This window comes from Homo sapiens, chromosome 12, assembly GCF_000001405.40.
Source record: "Homo sapiens chromosome 12, GRCh38.p14 Primary Assembly".
Taxonomy (NCBI): domain Eukaryota; kingdom Metazoa; phylum Chordata; class Mammalia; order Primates; family Hominidae; genus Homo; species Homo sapiens.
Window position 1 is genome coordinate 44,880,631 of NC_000012.12, and position 24,776 is coordinate 44,905,406.

General features: G+C 36.6%; 1 protein-coding gene across 2 annotated transcripts in view; it reads right to left on the reverse strand.

Annotated features, from left to right (window-relative positions):
• The window catches only part of NELL2 (neural EGFL like 2), a 413,574-nt gene that overhangs the window by 372,356 nt on the left and 16,442 nt on the right, over window positions 1-24,776 (reverse strand). The window contains exon 2 of one of the 2 annotated variants that reach the window (XM_011538396.2): window positions 1,149-1,209. The exons of the other annotated variant lie outside the window; for it this stretch is intronic. The gene's annotated coding sequence lies outside the window, so the exon portion shown is untranslated. The remainder of the gene's footprint in view (window positions 1-1,148; window positions 1,210-24,776) is intronic. 2 annotated transcript variants of the gene reach the window in all.

The following is a 24,776-nucleotide window of genomic DNA, read 5'->3' on the forward strand; positions in this document are numbered from 1 at the left end:
AAAAATTAAAGAATATCATGAGGCTCTAACTCTGGGTAAAATGGATTAAGTACACTTTACCATTTCTCCCACTGAATGCCATCAAAATTCAACAGAATGTATAAAGTATTTGAGGACTCTGAAAATTACATGGTATCAAGCAAACTAGGAAAGAAAACCAGAGTTTGAAGTACTACCATACTGGCAGTGAGTTCTTTGTTTTGTTCTTGTTGTTGTTGTTGTTGTTGTTGTTGTTGTTTTTGGCTAGTCAACTGAAGCAGTAGGAGTGGAAAATGAACAAATAAATCTGTAATTGGTTGTGACCAATTAGTTGTAAGCACCACTGCACTCAGACCAGCCAGGCAATGATTACCAGCCAGGTAGTGGTCTAAGAAATAGACCATTACCCAGGTCACAGGCTGGCCTCTGTGTTGCACAGTTGCATACTACAAAGTCTTAAAACCACACAAAAGGAAGACAAGTCAAAATCTTCTGTCTAAATTCTAAAGAGTCAATCGCCTGCTTAAATTTCTAAAAATCCAACATTCACCACAGTACTTAACAAAATTCAGAGTTTTATAACTTAATATTAAAATATTTAGGTTATAATAAAAAATTATTTGGCATATGGAGAACTAGAAAAACTTCAACTTAAATAAGAAAAATATAATCAACAGATACCAATGCCAAGATGACACAGATGTTGGAATTATCTGGAAAAGATTAAAGAAACTATTATAAAAATGCTCTAACAAATAAACACAAATACTCTTGAAACCAATGAAAGACAGAAAATGGCAGCAAATACATAAAAGATATAGAGAAGAACCAAGTGGAAATTTTAGAGCTGGAAAACAGAATAATTGAAATTAAAAACAAATAAACAAACAAAAATCATTAGAATGGGCCCAGTAGCTGAATGAAAATGATAAAGGAAAGAATCAGTGAGCTCGAAGACAGATCAATTAAAATTACCCAATCTGAACAAAAGGGAGAAGACTTTTTTTAAAAAATGAATATAGTCACAGGAACCTGTGGGACAAAACGAAAAGAAAATGTCATCAGAATTCCAAAAGGGGAGAAGAAAGAGTGCAGACATTTTGTTGTTGTTGTTAATCAAGAAAGAATGTTCTAAGATGTCTCAAATTTGGCAAAAGACATAAACTTACAGATTCAAGGAGCTCAGCAAACTTCAACAGGATACACTTATAGGAATCCATAACCAGAGTGCTGAAAACAATAGAAAAATGGAACTATCAATAGAGAAGAAAAAATCCTAAAAGCAACAAGAAAAAATGGCATTACATATAGGGAAACAACAGTTTGAATGAATGCAAACCATGGAGGCCACAAAAAAGTGGAATTTTTTTTTCTAAGTGTCCAAAGAATTTTGTCATCCCAGAATTCTCTATCTGTTGAAAATACCCTTCAGGAATAAATATGAAAGAAAAACATTCTCAGATAAAGAAAATCTTTAAAAACTGATTGCCAATAGACCTACTCTAAAATTATTGCTAAAGAAATTTCTTCAGGCAGAAGAGAAATAATACCATAAAGATAACAGCATATCAGGAATGAAGAGTAGAAGTGGCAAATATCTGGGTTAAAAAATATACTATTCTTGAGTACTGTAAAATATGTTTGATGGTTATATTATTTTTCCATTGCTGCGGTAACAAATTACCACAACTTTGGTGGATTAAAACAACACAGATTCATATATATGTATGTATATATATATACACATATGTATATATGTTGAAAATATACATACATACGTGTATACATATACACATATGTATATATGTTGAAAGTATACATACATACGTGTATATATGTATTTTCAACATATATACATATGTGTATATATACATACACACACATATACACACACACGCACACACACGCACACATACATATATATCCTTATTTTTTTGAGATGGAGTCTCACTCTGTCACTCAGGCCGGAATGCAGTGGCACCGTCTCAGCTCACTGCAACATCCACCTCCCGAGTTCGAGCAATTCTCCTGCCTCAGCCTCCCGAGTAGCTGGAATTACAGGCAGGCACCACCAGGCCTGGCTAAGTTTTGTATTTTTAGTAGAGACAGGGTTTCACCATGTTGGCCAGGCTGGTCTCAAACTCCTGACCCCAGGTGATCCACCCACCTCAGCCTCCCAAACTGCTGGGATTACAGGCGTGAGCCACCATGCCTGGCTATATACCTTTTTTTTTTTTTTTTTTTTTTTTGAGACAGAGTCTCCTTCTGTCACCCAGACTGTAGCGTAGTGGTGCAGTCTCAACTCACTGCAATCTCTGCCTCCTGGGCTTAAGCAATTCTCCTGCCTTGGCCTCCCAAGTAACTGAGACTACAGGCATGTAACAACATGCCCAGACAATTTTTTTTTTTTTTTTGGATTTTTAGTAGAGCCAGGGTGTTATGTTGGCCAGGCTGATCTTGAACTCCTTATCTCAAGTGATCAACCTGCCTTGGTCTCCCAAAATGCTAGGATTATGGGTGTGAGCCACTGAACCTGGCCCACAAATTTATGATTTTATAAATCCAAAGGCCATAAGCCTGACACCAGACTCACCAAGCTAGAATCAAAGAATTGGCATGACTAAGCTTCACTCTGAAGACTCTAGGGAAGAATCTATTTCTATACCTTTTTTAACTTCTACAGGGTGTCTGCATTCCTTGGCTCATTGCCCCCTCCTTCAATCTTCAATCCAGCAACAGCAGGCAAAGTCTTTCTCACACTACACTCTCTCTGGTTCTCTGACTACAGTTTAGAAAGGGCCTTTGCTTTTAAGGATTTATATTTTTAGATTAGGACCCCCTGGATAATCCAGTATAGTCTCCCCATCTGAAGACCCTTTGCCTTAATCACATGTTCAAGTCTCTTTGCTATGTAAAGTAACACATTCACAGGTTCTAGGGATTAGGTTGTAGACATCTTTGGGACTCCATTCTCCTGGCTACCACAATGATTGAAAGAAAATGTTTTTAAATTATCTAATGGAGTTTTAACATATGTAGATTTAATACATAAGACAAACACAACATAAAGATATGAGAATAAAGGGACCGATATAATGGTAAGGTTTCCACATTCCAATTGAAGTAATAACATATGAACTCTAAGTAGATGATAAAAAGTGAAGTATGTATATCATAATTCTCTAGAGCACCAACCCAAAATCCTATAATATAATAAAGATATAGTTAAGAGATACAACAGGTAAAATGGAATTCTAAAAATATTTAAATAACTTGAAAGAAAGCAGGAAATAGTTAAGATAGAACAGAAAATAGAAAGAACAAAGGGAAACAATAAAATGGTAGGCCAAAATCCAAACGAGTCAATAATTGCCTTAAATACAAGTGGTCTAATCATAACAATTAAAAGACTGAACTCATCAGAAGGAATTTGAAAAATATAATCCCACTATATGTTATTAAAAAGAAATCTACTTCAAATATAATGAGGTAAGTTAAAGGTAAAGGATTAAAAATATATAAAAATATATATACTAGGTAAACATGAATCAAAAGAAAGTTGAATGTCATATGTGAATGTCAGAAAAAGCAAACTTTAGAGTACAAAAAATTATCAGGAAGAAAGAGGTACATTACAGAATAACAAAAGGGTTCACAATTAAGACACAACAATCCTAAGTATATATGCACCTAACAGCAAAGCATCAAAATGTATGAAACATTTACCTGGAGAAAGAGTAATAGAACTGAAAGAAGAAGTAGACAGATCCACAATTCCATTTGGAAACATCTACATTCCTCTTTCATAATCAATAAAAATCTCTAGTCTTATCTAGTTTCAACACTAAATTCCACCACATTTAAAGGATAATTAATAGCAATTTTACACAAATATTCCAGAAAATAAAGGAAAGGGAAACACTTCCCAACTTTTCGTATGACATTAGCCAAAACCAGACAAAGACAGTTACATAACAGAAAATAAAACTAGAACATAGACTCTAAATTTACCTTTGGAACATACGAAATCCTAAACAAAATATTATTAAGTTATATCTGGCAATATATAGAAAGGATAATAAACTACAACAAGGTGGGGTTCATTCCAGAAATGCAAGGTTGATAAAATATTTTAAAATCAATCAAGATAATTCAGCACATTTACAACCTAAAGAAGGAAAAACGTGATTATATCCACTGATGAAAACAATGATTTGACAAAATTCAACACCTAGTCACATTAAAATAAATAATTCACTGCAAAGCAAAATAAAAGGGAACTTCTTCAATCTAATAAAGAGAACTTAAAAATATACATCTAATGAGGCAACATTGTATTGGAGATTATATTCAGTCTATCCAATGAGGCAATAAAAAGAAGTAAAACAGCTGGGTGTGGTGGCTCCCCCCTGTAATCCCAGCACTTTGGGAGGCTGAGGCAGGCGGATCACCTGAGGTCAGGAGTTCAAGACTAGCCTGACCAACATGGTGAAACCCTGTCTCTAATAAAAATATAAATACAAGCCAGGCATGGTGGTGAGCACCTGTAATCTCAGCTACTTGGGAAGCTGAGGCAGAAGAATTGCTTGAACCCAAAAGACAGAGGTTGCAATAAGCCAAGATCATGCCACTGCACTCCAGCCTGGGAGATAAAGCAAGATTATGTTTCAGAAAAAAAAATTAAAAATTAAAATTAAAAAGAAATAAAAGTTCTTCACATTGAGAAGGAAGAAATAAATGTTTTCCCTAAATGATATGGTCATCTACCTTTAAAAAATCCCAAAGCATATGTGAGAAAGCTACTGCAACTAGTAAGTGGGTTGGCAAGGTTGCAGAATACAAAGTCAATATACAGAAATCAATTCTATTTGTATATCCTAGCAAGAAATAATTAAAAATACAATTTAAAAAATATATGATTTATAACAGCATTAAAAAACATGAAATACTTATGAAGAAAAATAAAATACAGGCAAGATTTTACACAAAAAACTATAGAACTTTGCTGAGTGAAATTAAAAAATACCTAAGTGGATAAAAAGATCTACGTGCTCACAGATACATATAGTTCTTATTGTTAAGATATCAATTATCTTCATATTGATATAAAGATTCAAGAAAATCTCAATAAAAATCCCAGCAGGCTATTTTGTAGCAATTAATAAGCTGATTTTTAAATTTATATGGAAAAATCAAAGAAAACAGAAAAGCCAAAAATTTTTTTGAAAAAGAGTAAAATCAGAGGATTCACAGTATCTGACTTCAATACTATACTATAAAGCTATAGAAATCAAGACAGTATAGTTTTAGCATAAGGCTAGACATAAAAATTAATGGAATAAAGTAAAGAGCATAGGAATAGACATATATATATATAATGGTTAATTGATTTTTTACAAAGATATCAAGATTTTTCAATGGATAAAAGATAATCTTTTGAACAATGATGCCAGAACAATGGAACATCCATATAGTAAGGAAGGAAGGAAGGAAGGAAGGAAGGAAGGAAGGAAGGAAGGAAGGAAGGAAGGAAGGAAGAAAGGGAGAGAATCCTCATCTTATCTTGCATCATACACAATAATTAACCTAAAGTGGATTATAAGCTTATGTGTAAAAGCTAAAACTATAAAACTTTTAGAATAAAATTGTTGTGACTTGGGTTAGGCAAAGATTTCTTAAGCAGGACACAAAATGCACATATATCAAAAGAAAAAATCGAGAAATTATACTTCATCAAAATTAAAAACTTCTAGCTTTTTGAAAGATACCATCAAGAAAATTAAAAGTCAAGCAATAAAATAGGACAAAATATTAAAGGACTTGTATTCAGATTATATAAATAACTCTTATAATTCAGTAGGACCAAAAAATTCAATTAAAAAAGATAGGCAAAATATTTATTTTTTGCACTTTTTTAAAATTAATACATAATAGATGTACATAGTTTTGAGGTATATGAGATAATTTAATACACTCATATAATTTGTAAAGATCAAATAAGTGTATTGGAATATCCATCATCTTAAATATTTGCATTTTCTTTATGTTAGAACCATCCAAATTATTCTCTTCTAGCTATTTTGAAATGTGCAATAGATTATTGTAAACTATAGTCACCCTACTGATCTATGTTAACACTAAGTCTTATTTCTTGTGTCCAATCATATATTTGTACCATTAATCAACTTCTCTTCATCCTCCCCTCCCCGCTAAACTTCCCAGCCTCTGATAAGCAACAATATAATCTCTGTCTTTATGAGATCTATTTTTTTTTAGCTCCCATATATGAGTGACAACATGCGATATTAATCTTTTTGTGTTTGGCTGATTCTACTTCACATAATTACCTCCTATTTACTGAATATTATTGCATGTGTACATATACTACCTTTTCTTCATCCATTCATCCAGTGATAGACACTTAGTTTGATTCGTAGTTTGGCTACTGTGAATAGTGCTGAATGAGCATGGGAGTGCGTATGCCTTTTTGATATATTGATTTCCTTTCTCTTGGATAAATAGCCAGTAGTGGAATTGCTGTATCATATGGCAGCTCTTTTTTAGTTTTTGTTTGTTTGTTTGCTTGTTTTAGCAATGAGATTTCACTATATTCCACCGGCTGGTCTCGAACTCCTGGGCTTAAGCGAACTTCCTGCCTCGGCCTTCCAAAGTGCTGGGATTACAGGTGTGAGCTACTGCATCTGGCCCTTATTTTTGGTTTTTTGAGAAGCCTCCATACTTTTCTCAAAAGTGGCCGTAGTAATTTACATTTCCACCAAGAGTATACAAGGGTTCCCCTTTCTCCATATCCTCACTAGCATCCATTATTGCCTGTCTTTTTTATAAAAGCCGTTTTAACTGGGGGGAGACACCAATCTCATCAGAATTTTGCATTTATCTGGTGATTAGTGATGTTGAGCATTTTTTTCATATACCTATTGGTCATGTGTGTGTCTTCTTTTGAGAAATGTCTGTTCAGATTTTTACCCATTTTTTAATCAAATTATTTGGGGTTTGGGGGGATTATTGTGTGTGTGTGTGTGTGTGTGTTGTTGTTGTTGTTGTTTTTGTTGTTGTTGTTTTGCTATTGAGTTGTTTGAGCTCCTTATATTCTGGTTATTAATCCCTTGTCAGGTGGGTACTTTGCAAATATTTTCTCCCACTTTGTGGGTTGTCTCTTTCGTTTTGTTGATTGTTTCCTTTGCTGTGCAGAAGATTTTTAGCTTGATGCAATCCCATTTGTCTAATTTTGCTTTGGTTCTCTGTGCTTTTGAGGTCTTACACAAAAACTCTTTGCTGAGACCAATATCCTGGAGCATTGGCCTAATGTTTTCTTCTAGTAGTTTCATAGTTTCAGTATTAGAGTTAAGCCTTTAATCCATTTTGATATGATTTGATTTTTGTGTATGGTGAGAGATAGCAGACTAGTTTCAATCTTCTGCATATGTTTACCCAATTTTCCCAGAACCACTCATTGAAGACTGTCTTTTCCCCATTGTATGTTCTTGGCACCTTTGTTGAAGATGAATTGGCTCAAAATGTGTGAATCTATATCTGGGTCCACTACTTTGTTCCATTGGTCTATGTATCTGTTTTTATGCCAGTATCATGCTGATTTGGTTACTATAGCTTTGTAGCAAATTTTAAAGTCAGGTATTGTGATGCCTTTGGTTTTGTTCTTTCGGCTAAGGATTACTTTAGCTATTTGAGGTCTTTCGTGGTTCTAAATAAATTTAGGATTTTATCTAATTCTGTGATGAATGAACAGTTGGTTTTTTTTTTTTTTTTGAAAGTTAAACTATTTGACAAACCTTCACCTGGACTAAGAAAAAAAGAGAGAAGACCCAAATAAATAAAATCGGAAATGAAAAAGGGGACATAACAAATTAGACAACAGAAATGCAAAGAATGATTAGAGACTATAATGAATAACTGTACATCAACAAACTGTAAAACCTAAAAATAAAGAAAAAAAATTAAAATTAAGAAGCAATATATCAAACTGGGAATGATTAGGTATGATATAAAAAGGAATAGTAAGCGGGATAAAATAATTTTATAGCAAAGGTGGCTTTCCATACAAATCATATTCTTATTCACGTGTCGACAATAGGAAGTATAAGAGATGACCTATTTGGAACATGGGAGGGGATTAGGTTTTAGTCAACATTCTTCGTATTCACCAAAGAATGTTGTGTGAATGTGGAATCATGATACAACTGCCATAAAATAAAAAAAAAATAAATAAATAAATAAGAGAAGTATTGCTTCAAACACAGTTCTAAAAGCAACATAGTAAAAAGAAAGGAGTTTGGAACTTAGGAGCTCTGGGGTCGAGTCCCTGTCCCTGCTTTCCTAAGCCAGACACAAATTCCCTGCACCTGTTATCAGAGTTGCATAATAACTAATGCCTATCTACCCAAGGACTGCTGGGGGTCAAGTCTACATTGCCATGCTGTACATGAATGCCAGTTCTTCCTGTTGTTGTGACCTTAAACTATGCCACATCAGGATTGGCCTATTTTTATCACTCCCTCTTTGTGAGGCCAAATAATGGTAATTTAAATCAGACCATAGGAATAGGCAAGGAAAAGAGAACTGGAAATGTAAATAAGGTTTACCAAACAGCACTGTAAGAGAACTGAAAATGTGAATAAGGTTTACCAAATAGCACTAGTGACCTTTACTGGTTAGAAAAATATATACAGCATTCCGGGCACAGGACTGACTTACTGGCTTATCATATGCATTAGTCTTCAAGAGCCATGAGTCATCAGTTCAAAAGCTTATCCCACCATGCAGCCCTTATTTTTAACTGCCAATAGACAAGCAGAGTGAGCATTGGCTGCTTTTTCAATACACTACGGTACTTAATGTTCATCTGAATAGAATGAAGCATCCACATGGACCCAGCCGGTGAGCTGGCTTCTGGTCCTGTTTAAGGTTTTCTATTAAAAGATAGGGCTTTGCCTATCATTAGGGGACAAGTGACTGTTAACGTGAAAGGCTAAATACCAGAATATTCTTAGTGATATCCAGAAATCGGCTTTACTTATATCAGATTTTTTTCTCTTCAGCCTGTAAACTTAAATCCATAAACAATAAATATAGCAGTCATTAAAAATTCCATTTTCAAAGGGAGATTTTTATTTTATTCTGCCTCTGCTACCGTCAAAAATAATTCTCTTTTTCTAAGGCTATACGTAGTCCACACCTTAAAGAAAATTTATTAAGTTCAGTCCTCAGGATGCAATAATTCAAAATCTTTCCTGACTCATCACATAATTATTGCTAGTGCTCAGCTACTGCCATTAGAATCTTCTTTTTGATGAACATGTAGTTGCTAGATGGAAATCTTAGGCCGGGTTTCCCAAATGCATGTCTTGAGAACAGGGATAAGCTTATGTTAGTATCTAAAAAGGCTGGCAGGGATCCAGATTCAGCATTAGTTCAGCCAAAGTGTCTGTTCACATGTATCATTTAGTCCTCTGACAGGAATAAATGCCCCTAGAGTTCCGTCACTCTGCTAGAGCCTCCCTCTATCTCCAGCTTGACAGTCTTGGCCAAAGGCTGGAGCTGAGAATGCAAACATAAAGAAAGAGCTGCTGAGTGAGCAAGAAAATAAATGTGGGAGTGGCACAGGTGCTGTTCAGGTCATCCTTATCCTTTCCCTATACAGGCTGACTCTTAGTATTCACAGCGCTAAGTACAGGACTTGCCGGGAAGACTGGCCATCATTTAGGATCATATAATAGAAAAGCATGTAAAGTTCTCATTTTGCAAACCACGACACAGACAAGTCAAGTAATTTGTTCAAAATCACGCAACTAATTAATTTCAGAGTAGCTCTTAAGCCTTGTTCTCCAACTTTATTCATTTATTCAAGAGGTATTTGTGGAGGTGACTCCAGAGTTCATTCTCTAAACCCCTTCTCTATAGCTGTCTCCTTTAAAAGTTGTTAGAAAACTTAATCTAGTGAATTCCAGGCTTAGTCAATCACGTCTATGTTTTTTTCAGGTCACCTCCAGTTTAAAACCAGTTCAAAATTTTCTCCCCCCATATCATTGCCCCCAAGGGTTCACACATTTATTTTTCTTTATTTTCTTTATTTTTTTATTTTATTTTATTTTATTTTTTTTGATACAGAGTCTCACTCTGTCACCCAGGCTGGAGTACAATGGTGGCATCTTGGCTCACCGCAATCTCCACCTCCTGGGTTCAAGCGATTCTCTCACCCCAGCCTCCTGAGTAGCTGGGATTACAGGCACCCGCCATCATGCCAGGCTAATTTCTGTATTTCTGTAGAGACAGGGTTTCATCATGTTAGCAAGGCTGGTCTTGAACTCCTGACCTCAGGTGATCCACCCGCCTCGGCATCCCCAAGTTCTAGGACTACAGGCGTAAGCCACCGCACCCAGCAGGGTTCATACATTTCATTATGACTACTAGTAGTGGAAAAGGCACCTTCTCTATCGCTGCCCCTCCAGGTTAAGATATGCTACTGGTGTCCAAATTAACCCCTACTATTTGGTCATCTGCCCCCTTCTGAGGTGTTCTTCACTCAGAGGACACCATACTTGTTCTCCATGCCCTGCCATTATGGCTACAGCTTTTTGAGTTTACTAGGCCTACCAGCTATCCAAATAACAATTTCAAATAGACTGGCACCCAGAAGAGAGGTCTGGACTATACCAGTGATGATACCTAAGGCCATGGGAGCAGATCTTGCTAAAATTATCCACACTCCAATCCCTAGCAGATTCACATGCAATATGCACCTTCTAATAATGTTCTTGTAGTTCTTCTGCAGGATGTCCCCATAAAGGGTCCTCTGCTCTCGGCTCAGAAACTACCACTGCTGGAGCTCGGACCCAATGGGGCCATGTTCCTTACAAGTTAAGATCTTCCATGTTATTGTCATTGTTGTATTATTGAATTTTTGTTCATTCTTAATTTTTAAAGTGATTAGATGTTATTCTCTTTAAATTTTTTCTCTTTATTTGTAACACTGATTTTTTTTCCTCCTGTGGGTCATGATTCTGTATAGAAAAGGGATTTTTCTACCTTTCCCACTAGACTGAAAGCTCTACTGTAAGAACAGAGCTTGAGTCTACCTTAGTCATATGATTAAGGGCCAAGCATGACATCAGGCAGAAAATTGGAGCTCAATGCATGCATATTTGTTTAATCAAGTTGAAATGGAATTTCCTCTCTCTCCTCTTATTTAATTGGGTAGAATATGGTTCCATCCCCTGCCTTGAGAGGATCTCAGAACAATATGTTTTGCTAATTATGCAAATATATTTATCAACTGTATGAGTAAAGTAGCCTATAATTTAAAGACTGAGGACTTGTTTTCAAACACATCACAGTAATGAAATGAGCCTATTCCAACAGTATATTCATGGTGCTATGGTTTCCTTTCTAAGCCTGGTGATTGTTTCACACTGGGCAAGACATCTGGTGAAGTTGAGAGGCTGTCACCCAGCTGAGAGAATATGTGCATGGTTGGGAGTAGAATTTCCTTACATCTTTTTAAAGATATGAGCATTTGAAAATGAAATCATTATGTGAAGATCAATATATGAAGGTGCAAGAGTGAACAGTTTACTGGGATGACTTGAGTAGAGGTAGAAATGCCATCAGAGTGACAGACAGCATCCCAGGCTTCTACTTCCAATTCTGTTACTGTCCAACTGGGCAGGTCAAAGAATCTTCTCCATCACCACCACCATGCTACTAGCATCATGATTATCATAATAATATCTAACCCATATAAAGTGCTTACCAGCTTTCAAGCTCTGTGCTTAAAAGTTTTCATGGATCATTTCCTTTAAACAATCATCAAAAATAGCCCTATAAGGTAAATCTTCTTCTTATCAAACTATTACTGATGAAGAAACCAGGGCTGGGCGCAGTGGCTCATGCCTGTAATCCCAGCACTTTGGGAGGCCGAGGCAGGCAGATCACGAGGTCAGGAGATCAAGACCATTCTGGCTAACATGATGAAACCCCATCTCTACTAAAAATACAAAAACATTAGCCAGGAGTGGTGGTGGGCGCCTGTACTCCCAGCTACTCGGGAGGCTGAGGCAGGAGAATGGCGTGAACCCGGGAGGCGGAGCTTGCAGTGAGCCGAGATCGCACCACTGCACTCCAGGCTGGGCGACAGAGCGAGACTCTGTCTCAAAAAAAAAAAAAAAAAAAAAAGAAACCAAATTCAACATTAGTAAGGAGCACAATTCAACATCAGTAAGGAGCACAATTGAGCTTTGCATTTATTTTAACAATCTGATCCCAAGATCCAAACTATTAAAAAAAATCATAATCCTACAGAGGATGTTATTTAAACTCATTTGGAAATTCACATACCAAAGAAACTGTGATTCACAATACTCTATCAGTCCACATAGTCATTTCCTAGGGCTGCCATAACAAATTTCCACAAACTGGGTGGCTTAACCCAACAGAAATTTATTATCTTACAATTCTGGAGGTTAGAAGTCTGAAATCAGGTAATGGTAGAATCATGCTCCCTGTGAAGCCCCTAGAGAAGGATCCTCACTTGCCTCTTCCTGCCTCTGGCAGACCCAGGAATTTCCTGGTTTGTGGCAGCAGAACTCCAATCTCTGACTCCAACACCCAAATTCTTAATCAGTTCTTTCTATAGAACCCTTTGAGCCTCAGTTTTCTCTCCAATTTTCTCTATCAGATATAAAGTTAATACATCAAGTCATTTTCAATTCTGAAATTTTATTATTCTAAATAAAACATAGCCAAATTAACCCTTAACATATTTAGAAATATATGTATAATCACATAATCATGATTTTGCCAATAATAATTTCACATATAGGATCAGTCCTCACTTAACTAACAAGTGTTAGCATTATTTTAAACACAGCTAAATTAAGTATTTCTGGGATCTGCTTGGTATCTCTTTACCACTCAGAGAGGGTAGAGGGAGAGTTAGTGGCTTCCTCATTGCATATCAGGAGTAACTGCCGAGCAGGCACCTGTTCTGTCTTAAACCAGACTGACTATAGGATTTGATGTTAGCTGTGTTCCTGTGCCCAGTACCGAAGCAAGCATGACGGATGGGGTGCCCCAAGCCTTCTAATTTTGAATGTCCATGTAGCATCCTAAATAATGAGAATAAGAGCTATCACTGAAGAATTTTCTTCCTGCCCTTAGGACAGTATCCAAAATCCTAAACTTGGCCTACAGAAGTGCTTTCCCAAACCATCTGTGGCAACAGACTAATTCTTTTTAAATCCCTAATCCATTGTGAATCAACAGATTAAAGATTTTTAAATTTATGTTTATAAAGTATAATAAAATTAAATTCTAGAAAAATAAACGAAAAAGACATACAAACTCAACAGACCTAAAACTGCATTTCAACACATCTACTTAGAACAAATCTAACAGGAAAAAAATAGAGAAATTCTACACATTGTTCAATGAAAGTTTGTATTTAGGAGATTAAAATGGAGAATTGTTAATTATGCTCATAAGTTTAGTCATCCATAATCATAAAAAACAAAAAGTTATAAAGCAAATAGCAAGTCCCTGTATTAAATTACTTTACACACACTTTGAATGAACATTATGTATATCAATAGTTGAGCTTGTTTTCCTGCTTGTTAACTTATCTAGGTTGGCTTGATGACAATGTTACTCTCAGGGGATAACATACATCTATGTTTTGTTCTATTAACAATAACAATAGAGAAACCTGTCTCACCTAAGCAAATTGACAGAAATGGAAGAAAAAAAATGACAGCAAGCTCAGGATATTTGTTTTAAATTTTTATCTAAAGCAAGGTAAGTGATGCTGTGTTTTCAAACTCCATCTTTAATCTTGCATCATTAACCAGCTACAACAATTTATTCTGTAAAGTCATGATTACGTTTATATTATCTTTCAAAAATTGAAAAGGATGCTGAATCCACTATTCTCATGCATGCATCTTCTTTTGATAAAAAGTAAAAACGTTCTATCAGATCTGTAAGGAACTCAATGATATGTCTCACAGATGTGCAATGTCAACATCATAAATTATCTCATCCATAATTTTTGTTCAATTATGGAACACGTAATAACAATTTATAAAAATTATTCTTCCCTGCTTCTAACTCTCAATTTTACCCTTCAGTTTTACCTATTATTGAAAAATATTTTGCATTCCTTCTTTGCATCCATATATTTAGATAATAGATAACATCAAAGATGTAAGATATATACATGCTGCTCAATTCACAACTTGAGAATGTTGGGATAAAACTGATTTCTTATCTTGTAGAAAGACCAAGAGTTTCTTTGGTGATTCAAACATTCTCAATAGAATATTCTCCCTTTATATGCATCATAACTTAATATGCGACAAGTTGCTTGTGACTAGCTTTTGTAACATTCATATTATCACATAAAAAAGAGATTGTGTAGGATTTAACACATTTGATTAGTTGGAGTTGGCCAGGACAAAAAGAGAGGAAGTAGAGATTCTAGAGAGAAGCCTGATGGAGAAAGGAAATCTTCTCCTTCAGACTTTCCTTTCAACACTTAGAGAACTCTGCAGGCTGGATTTTTGCTGTGGTGTCAGAAGAGCATCTATTTCCCAGTGTGAGTGAGCATCAGCTCTGGTCAAATGATTATATGATGAGATAACAACAATTTAGTAAGGAGCTGTTAGTTTAATTAAAAGGAACAAAACGCAAGAGTTGAAATGCAAAGAGAAAAATCTCAATTTGGATCTAAGATTTATATTTATCTTAGCTTTATTTAAATTCATTTTTCATTTTCTGCTTCTATTTATATAGTAGATTGTATTCATACTGATGATTAAATAAAAAAATACATTTTCACAGATAAATGTAAATCACAATTTGGTTTAAATGCCATTACAAACACATGGAGGAACCATTTGGTTAAGTGATTGTGACCATCTCATGTAGCTGAATTAGAAGCCCTGAAGTCATAGTTCTCAAAAGTTTCTAACCCATGTTTCCATTATAAAAAATTACCCCAGGGAGATTCTAATTTGTATCCACAGCAATAAGATTTTTGTTGAGGCTTTTTTTCCTGCATTTATATTACGAAATCATATATCACCCCCTAACTTTAATTAGATATTACCACTACCACCACCCCAGGGCACATTCTTCCACCTTGAGATTCACAGCCTAAAGAATTCATTTCTTTCTTTAGTGACATTATATCAACAACACAAATAAAGATGGAGTGCATAACTGGATTATATTATCATCTAACACATTTACACTGATAAACACTCAATTTAACAATAAGCCATAATTATATACATTTGCAAATAAAACATATTTTGCTATGCTCGGTTTTATAACATGCTATATTCTGATTATTTAGACTAAGGAAAATAAAGCATTTACTGTGTTATGAAGGAAGACAAAAAGCAAGAGTCCGAGATTTCCATGTAGGTCAAAGTAATTAAAATAGTGATCATTCAGTAAGACCGGAAGAGGGGCTATCAGAGAAGGTCTCAATGTGGCTAAATTAGAAAGCAAGGAGATGTCATTTTTTAAAGTCTAAAAGTTGTGCCACTTTACAAAAACTCATCCAACTAAGCAATTTTTGGTGGTTGCTAAATATATATGCTGGTGTAAGCTAATATGAAATACACAGCAAAGTTTAAAAAAAGAAGAAAATGTATATTTTAGTTCAAGATATCCAGCTGAGGTAAGGTCTATAGGCTTCCTTAAATAGCTAATGGGAAATTTCTAACATCTCCAACTATTAGTTAAGTGTCCTTTGTCAATAAATGAAAGATACTAACATAATTTTTAAGATTTAATTAAAATAAACTAACATTTCTTAAAGGAATTCCGTGACCGAGGTGTACACAGGAGTACTGAAAGCTAAAGTGGTGTATATTTCCAAGGGCATATGCCCTTAAGGAACATATAAACTAGCCTTGAAGCTATACATGTATACATATGAAAAGTATTGAGTAAAGCAATATGTAATTGATTTTATAAGAAAAATATCACTTAATGTACTAGATGAGCACAAGAAACAAAAGCAGTAGATTAACTAAGTGGAAGACCAGAGAAATTTTCAGAGGAGGGAGTGTTTGACCTCCTCTGTGAAATACATTTATTTTTAAAGGGCAGATGAGGAATATTTCAGATGGATGACACACCAGAAGCAAAAGTTTTCTCCCTGTCTAAAGAATGAAAGTCAACTTTAGATGCACGAGATGGACAAGTGGAAGATATGGATGGACAGGCAAGAGAAGCCCTCAGCTGTGAAAGCTACAGGGATTCTGGACTTTATTTTGAAGATAATAGGAAAGCAATGAAGGTTTTTAAGCACAGGAGTGACTTAATCGAAGGGGAACTTTAAAATGTGTGTTAGCCTTTTGTGCAAATAAATACTAAATCTGCTGGTACTATTGACATGTTTTCATTAAAAGGCCCTCTATACAGTTCTGGTAAGAGCAAATGTTAAAAAGAAGCTGTGATTCTCTCAAATTTAACAAGATGATGTCAGTAATAATCATCTACTGAGGTTAGTAGAATACCCATCAGGGTTGCCAAAAAACAGAACACAACGCAGAAACTGATCATAACATTCTCGGAAACCACAGAAAACTAATGAAGGTTCATACTTACAAAATAAGACATGAGAAAGAGGAGTGTGTTCTAATGTTAAAATTCAGTATCTTGGACTCCCCCGTAAGATGGCCAAATAGGAACAGCTCCGGTCTACAGCTCCCAGCAAGACCAACACAGAAGGCAGGTGATACCTGCATTTCCAACTGAGGTGCCCAATTCATCTCATTGGGACTAGTTAGACAGTGAGTGCAGCCCACGGAGGGCAAGCAGAAGCAAAGTGGGGCGTCACCTCACCAAGGAAGCGCAAGGGGTTGGGGAACTCCCTCTCCTAGTCAAGGGAAGCCGTGAGGGACTGTGCCATAACGGACAGTGCTGTCCAGCCCAGATACTCTGCTTTTCCCAAGGTCTTCAAAACTGGCAGACCAGGGGATTCCCTCGGGTGCCTACACCACCAGGGCCCTGGCTTTCAAGCACAAAACTGGGCAGCCATTTGGGCAGACACTGAGCTAGCTGCAGTTTTTTTTCATACCCCAGTGGTGCCTGGAATGCCCCCGAGACAGAACTGTTTACTCCCCTGGAAAAGAGGCTGAAGCCAGGGAGCCAAGTGGACTTGCTCAGTGGATCCCACCCCTACAAAGCCCAACAAGCTAAGATCCACTGGCTTGAAAGTCTTGCTGCCAGCCCAGCAGTCTGAAGCCAACCTGGGAATCTCCAGAGTGGTGTGGGGAGGGGCATCCGCCATTACTGAGGCTTCAGTAGGTGCTTTTCCCCTCACAGTATAAACAAGCTGTTGGGAACTTCAGACTGGGTAAAGCCCACCAAAGTGCTGCAAAGCCCCTGTAGCCAGACTACCACTTTAGATTCTGGGCAGGGCATCTCTGAAAGAAAGTCAGCAGCTCTAGTCAGGGGCTTATAGAAAAAACTCCCATCTCCCTGGGACAGAGCACCTGGGAGAAGGGGTGGCTGTGGGCGCAGCTTCAGCAGACTTAAACGTTCCTGCCTGCTGGCTCTGAAGAGAGCAGCAGATCTCCCAGCACAGCACTCGAGCTCTAGGGACAGACGACCTCCTCAAGTGGGTCCCTGACCCCAATGCCTCCTGATGGAGAGACACCTCCCAGCAGGGGTCGACAGACATGTCATACAAGAGAGCTCCGGCTGGCATCTGGTGAGTGACTGTCTGGAATGAAGCTTCCAGAGGAAGGAGCAGGCAGCAAACTCTGCTGTTCTGCAGACTCTGCTGATGATACCCAGGCAAACAGGATCTGGAGAGAACATCCAGCAAACTCCAGCAGACCTGCAGAAGAGGGTCCTGACTGTTAGAAGGAAAACCAACAAACAGAAAGCAATAACATCAACATTAACAAAAAGAACGCCCGTGCAAAAACCCCATCCAAAGGTCACCAACATCAAAGACCAAAGGTAGACGAATCCATGAAGATGAGGAAAACCAGGCACAAAAAGTTGAAAATTCCAAAAACCAGAAGGCCTCTTCTTCTCCAAAGGATCACAACTCCTCGCCAGCAAGGGAACAAAACTGAATGGAGAATGAATTTGACAAATTGACAGAAGTAGGCTTCAGAAGGTGGGTAATAACAAACTACTCCGAGCTAAAGGAATATGATCTAACCCAATGCAAGGAAGCTAAGAACCTTGATAAAGGGTTAGAGGAACTGCTAACTAGAATAAGCAGTTGAGAGAAGAACATAAATGACCTAATGGAGCTGAAAAACACAGCATGAGAACTTTGTGAAGCATACACAAGTATCAATAGCCAAATTGGTCAAGTGGAGGAAAGGATATCAGAGATTGAAGATCAACTTAATGAAATAAAGTATGAAAACAAGATTAGAGAAAAAAGAATGAAAAAAAAACAAAAAAAACAAAGCCTCCAGGAAATATGGGACTATGTGAAAAGACCAAACCTACATTTGACTGGTGTACTTGAAAGTGACAGGGAGAACAGAACCAAGTTGAAAAACATGCTTCAGGATATTATCCAGGAGAACTTCCCCAACCTAGCAAGACAGGCCAACATTCAAATTCAGGAAATACAGAGAACACCATAATGATACTCCTCGAGAAGAGCAACCCAAAGACACATAATTGTCAGATTCACCAAGGTTGAAATGAGGAAAAAATGTTAAGAGCAGCCAAACAGAAACATCAGGTTACCCACAAAGGGAAGCACATCAGACATACAGAGGATCCCTCTGCAGAAACCCTACAAGCCAGAAGAGAGTGGGGGCCAATATTCAACATTCTTAAGGGAAAGAATTTTCCACCCAGAATTTTATATCCAACCAAACTAAGCTTCAAAAGCGAAGGAGGAATAAAATCCTTTATAGACAAGCAAATGCTGAGAGATTTTGTCACCACCAGGCCTGCCTTACAAGAGCTTCTGAAGTAAACACTAAATATGGAAAGGAAAAACTGGTACCAACCACTGCAGAAACATAGCAAAATGTAAAGCATCGACACTATGAAGAAACTGCATCAACTAATGGGCAAAATAACCAGCTAGCATCAAAATGACAGGACCAAATTCACACATAACAATATTAACCTTAAATGTAAATGGGCTAAATTGCCCAATTAAAAGACACAGACTGGCAAATTGGATAAAGAGTCAGGACCCATCGGTGTGCTATATTCAGGAGACCCATCTTATGTGCAAAGACACACATAGGCTCAAAATAAAGGAATGGAGGAAGATTTACCAAGCAAGTGGAAAGCAAACAAAAGCAGAGGTTGCAATTTTAGTCTCTGATAAAACAGACTTTAAACCAACAGAGATTAAAAAACACAAAAAAGGGCATTACATAATGGTAAAGGAATCAATGCAACAAGAAGAGATAACTATCCTAAACATATATGCACTCAACACAGGAGCACCCAAATTTGTAAAGCAAGTTCTTAGAGACCTACAAAGAGACTTAGACTCCCACACAATAATAGTGGGAGACTGTAACACCCCACTCTCAATATTAGACAGATCAACGAGACAGAAAATTCACAAGCATATTCAGGACTTGAACTCAGCTCAGGACCAAGCAGACCTAATGGACATCTACTGAACTGTCCACTCCACATCAATAGAATATACATTCTTCTCAGCACCACATCACACTTATTCTAAAATTGACCACATAATTGGAAGTAAAACACTCCTCAGAAAATGCAAAAGAATGGAAATCATAACAAACAGTCTCTTAGACCACGGTGCAATGAAATTAGAACTCAGGAGTAAGAAACTTGCTCAAAATCGCACAACTACATGGAAACCGAACAACCTGCTCCTGAATGACTACTGGTTAAATAACAAAATTAAGGCAGAAATAAAGAAGTTCTTTGAAACCAACGAGAATGAAGACACAATGTACCAGAATATCTGGGACACAGCTAAAGCAGTGTTTAGAGGGAAATTTACAGCACTAAATGCCCACAAGAGAAAGTGGGAATGATCTAAAATTGACACCCTAACTTCACAATTAAAAAGAACAAAAGAAGCAAGAGAAAACAAATTAAAAAGCTAGCAAACACTTTGGGAGGCTGAGGGAGGTGGATCACAAGGTCAAGAGATCGAGACCTTCCTGGCCAACATGGTGAAACCCCATCTCTACTAAAAATACAAAAATTGGCTGGGTGTGATGGCATGCAGCTGTAGTCCCAGCTACTCAAGAGGCTGAGGCAGGACAATTGCTTAAACCCAGGAGACAAAGGTTGCAGTGAGGCCAGATCATGCCACTGCACTCCAGCCTGGTGACAGAGTAAGAAACTGTCAAAACAAAACAAAACAAAACAAAACAAAACAAAACTACCAGAAGACAAGAAATAACTAAGATCAGAGCAGAACTGAAGGAGGATAGAGATATGAAAAAGACTTCAAAAAATCAATGAATCCAGTAGCTGGTTTTTTGAAAAGATTAACAACATAGATAGACCACTAGCCAGATTAATAAAGAAGAAAAGAGAGAAGAATCAAATAGACACAATAAAAAATGATAAAGGGGATATCACCACTTATCCCGTAGAAATACAAACTACCATCAGAGAATACTATAAATACATCTACACAAATAAACTAAAAATCTAGAAGAAATGGATAAATTCCTGGACACATACACCCTCCCAAGACTAAACCAGGAAGAAGTCGAATCCCTGAATATATCAATAAAAAGTCCTGAAATTGAGGCAGTAATTAATAGCCTACAAACAAAAACCAGCCTAGAACCAGATGGATTCACTGCTGAATTCTACCAGAGGTACAAAAAGGAGCTGGTACCATTCCTTCTAAAACTATTCCAAACAACAGAAAAAGAGGGACTCCTCCCTAACTCATTTTATGAGGCCAGCCTCATCCTGGTACCAAAATCTGGTGGAGACACACACACAAAAAAGAAAATTTCAGGTCAACATCCCTCATGAACACTGATGTGAAAATCCTCAATAAAATACTGGCAAACTGAATCCAGCAGCACATCAAAAGGCTTATCCAGCATGATCAAGTCAGCTTCATCCCTGGGATGTGAGGCTGGTTCAATATACACAAATCAATAAATGGAATCCATCACATAAACAGAACCAATGACAAAAACCACATGATTATCTCAATAGATGCAGAAAAGGCCTTCAATAAAATTCAACACCCCTTCATGCTAAAAACACTCAATAAACTAGGTATTGATGGAACGTATCTCAAAATAATAAGAGCTATTTATGACAAACCCACAGCCAATATTATACTGAATGGGCAAAGGCTGGAAGCATTCCCTTTGAAAACTGGCACAAGACAAGGATACCCTCTCTCATCACTCCTATTCAACATAGTTTTGAAAGTTCTCACCAGGGCAATCCGGCAAGAGAAAGAAATAAAGGTATTCAAATAGGAAGACAGGAAGTCAAATTGTCTCTGTTTGCAGATGACATGATTGTATATTTAGAAAACCCCATCGTCTCAGCCCAAAAACTCCTTGAGCTGATAAGCAACTTCAGCAAATTCTCAAAATACAAAATCAATGTGCAAAAATCACAAGCATTCCTATACACCAATAGTAGACAAATAGAGACCTAAATCATGAGTGAACTCCCATCCACAATTGCTACAAAGAGAATACAATACCTAGGAATGCAACTTATGAGGGATGTGAAGGACCTCTTCAAGGAGAACTAAAAACCGCTGCTCAAGGAAATAATAGAAGACACAAACAAATGGAAAAATCATTCCATGCTCATGGATAGGAAGAATTAATATCGTGAAAATGGCCACGCTGCCCAAAGTAATGTATAGATTCAATGCTATTCCCATCAAGCTACCATTGACTTTCTTCACAGAATTAGAAAAAACTACTTTAAATTTCATATGGAACCAGAAAAGAGCCCGTATAGCCAAGACAATCCTAAGCAAAAAGAACAAAGCTGGAGGTATCAAGCTACCTGACTTCAAACTATACTACAAGGCTACAGTAACCAAAACAGCATGGTACTGGTACGAAAACAGAGAGATAGACCAATGGAACAGAACAGAGGCCTTAGAAATAACACCACACATCTACAACCATCTGATCTTTCACAAACCTGAGAAAAACAAGCAATGGGGAAAGGATTCCCTATAAAATAAATGGTGTTGGGAAAACTGGCTAGCCATAGGCAGAAAACTAAAACTGTACCCCTTCCTTATACCTTATACAAAAATTAACTCTGGATGGATTAAAGATTTAAACGTAAGACCTAAAACCATAAAAACCCTAGAAGAAAACCTAGGCAATACCATTCAGGACATAGGCATGGGCAAAGACTTCATGACTAAAATACCAAAAGCAATGGCAACAAAAGCCACAATTAACAAATGGGATCTAATTAAAGAGCTTCTGCACAGCAAAATAAACTATCATCAGAGTGAACAGGCAATCTACAGAATGGGAGAAAATTTTTGCAATCTATCCAGTGGGGCTAATATCCAGAAGCTACAAGGAACTTAAACAATTTACAAGAAAAAAAATACCCCCATCAAAAAGTGGGCAAAGGACATGAACAGACGCTTTTCAAAAGAAGACATTTATGTGGCCAACAAACATATTTTTAAAAGCTCATCATCACTGGTCATTAGAGAAATGCAAATCAAAATCACAATGAGATACCATCTCATGCCAGTTAGAATGGCGTCATTAAAAAGTCATGAAACAACAGATGCTGGAGAGGATGTGGGGAAATAAGAATGCTTTTACATGGTTGGTGGGAGTGTAAATTAGTTCAACCATTGTGGAAAACAGTGTAGCGATTCCTCAAGGACCTAGAACTAGAAATACCATTTGACCCAGAAATCCCATTACTGGTTATATACCCAAAGGATTATAAATCATTCTACTATAAAGATACATGCACACGTATGTTTATTGCAGCACTATTCACAATAGCAAAGACTTGGAACCAACCCAGATGCCCATCAATGATAGACTGGATAAGGAAAACGTGGCACATATGCACTGTAGAATACTATGCAGCCATAAAAAAGAACGAGTTCATGTCCTTTGCAGGGACATGGATGAAGCTGGAAACGATCATTCTCAGCAAACTAACACAGGAACAGATAACCAAACACTGCATGTTCTCACTCATAAGTGGGATTTGAACAATGAGAACATATGGGCACAGGGAGGGGAATATCACACACTGGGGCCTGTCGGGGGGTGGGGGCAAGGGGAGGGATAGCATTAGGAGAAATACCTAATGTAGATGATGGGTTGATGGGTGCAGCAAACCACCAGGGCACATGTATACCTATGTAACAAACCTGCACGTTCTGCACATGTATCCCAAACTTAAAATATAATAAAAATAAATTAATTAAATTAAATTTTAAAAAAACTTAGAATCTTTAAAATCTAGACAAATTAATATGTATGGCCAGGAACACTTAAATCTATTAAATGTCTATGACTCTTTTGGATCACAAATTTATAAAGATAGCAAATTAAAATAATAAATTAATTTTAGAAAAACTTATGTTACTTCATTGTATAAAACAACTGAAATAAAATAAATGGGAAAAGGCTAGATCAGACATTGTAATAGATATAATGCTATATGCTCAACACATCCCATTTTCTTTTATTCTAAGAATATGCTTTTCACTTCACTTGTTTGGGAAAACCCTTCAACTAACTTATAGCTAAAGGAATATGTGTAGAAGTGATACTCAACGCTTGCAGGTCTGGCTCATAAAACTTCCATATTCTGTCTCTCTTTTCTTGCCTGCTGAACAGATACAAAGATATCCAGTGGAATGCTAGAAAGCCCTTGAAGATCAAAAAACAAAACACAATGAAAGCCACATGATGGAAGGAGATTAGAGTCCCTGAATGACGGTGAAAAAGAAAGGCCTTCCTCTTACCTCCCAGTTACCCTCATTGAATTATGACATGAGCTAGAAATAAGAGCTACTGAGATTTGAGATTGTTTGTTATAGCAGTTAGCCCACCCTAACTAATATGGGCTCCTAAAATTCCATGCATATTTAAAATCAAATGTTACACAATTTATTTTCTAATCCTCCTCAAAGCATTTCATTAAAACTTCATGCTGTAAATATAATCAAATTAATTTTTAGTATACTAAAAAGTACAGTTGAAGATAAATAGCTTAAGGGAATGAGATAGGGTCATTAATCATTACATTTTGAAAAAAAAGTGGCCTGATGGTTCATTAGGGATTTGGTTATTCTATCATGATTTCCCCACTGGGCATTGTCCAGTGAGAGTTAAACAGTTTTAAGCAGAGACAAAAGTAACCTGAACACCAATGACTGGACCAAATTTTCTTCAACTTTATGAGATCATAAAAAAAACTTCTTTATCAGAGTGCTAGTGATGTAGATGTTCTTTTACACGGATTATCTTATTTGAAAATCCAAACTATAATGAACATTTCTTTGAGCATCATGTCAGTGCTTAAAAAGTTTTGGATTTTGGAGAATTTCAGATTTCAGATTTTCAGATTGGGTATCTCAGCCTGTACTTTCATAACAGTTTATTTTTATAATTTCCTGTATTTTCTTTATTTCTTCTTCTAAGGTATGTGTATTGTAAGCTGGCATTTTCTCATTATCTATATGTTTTATTTAATTATATTTTATAATTTCTATTTCATGTGGTATGTTTATGCTTATAGATTTCCCCTTTTGATGTTTTTTACTGTTCCAAGCA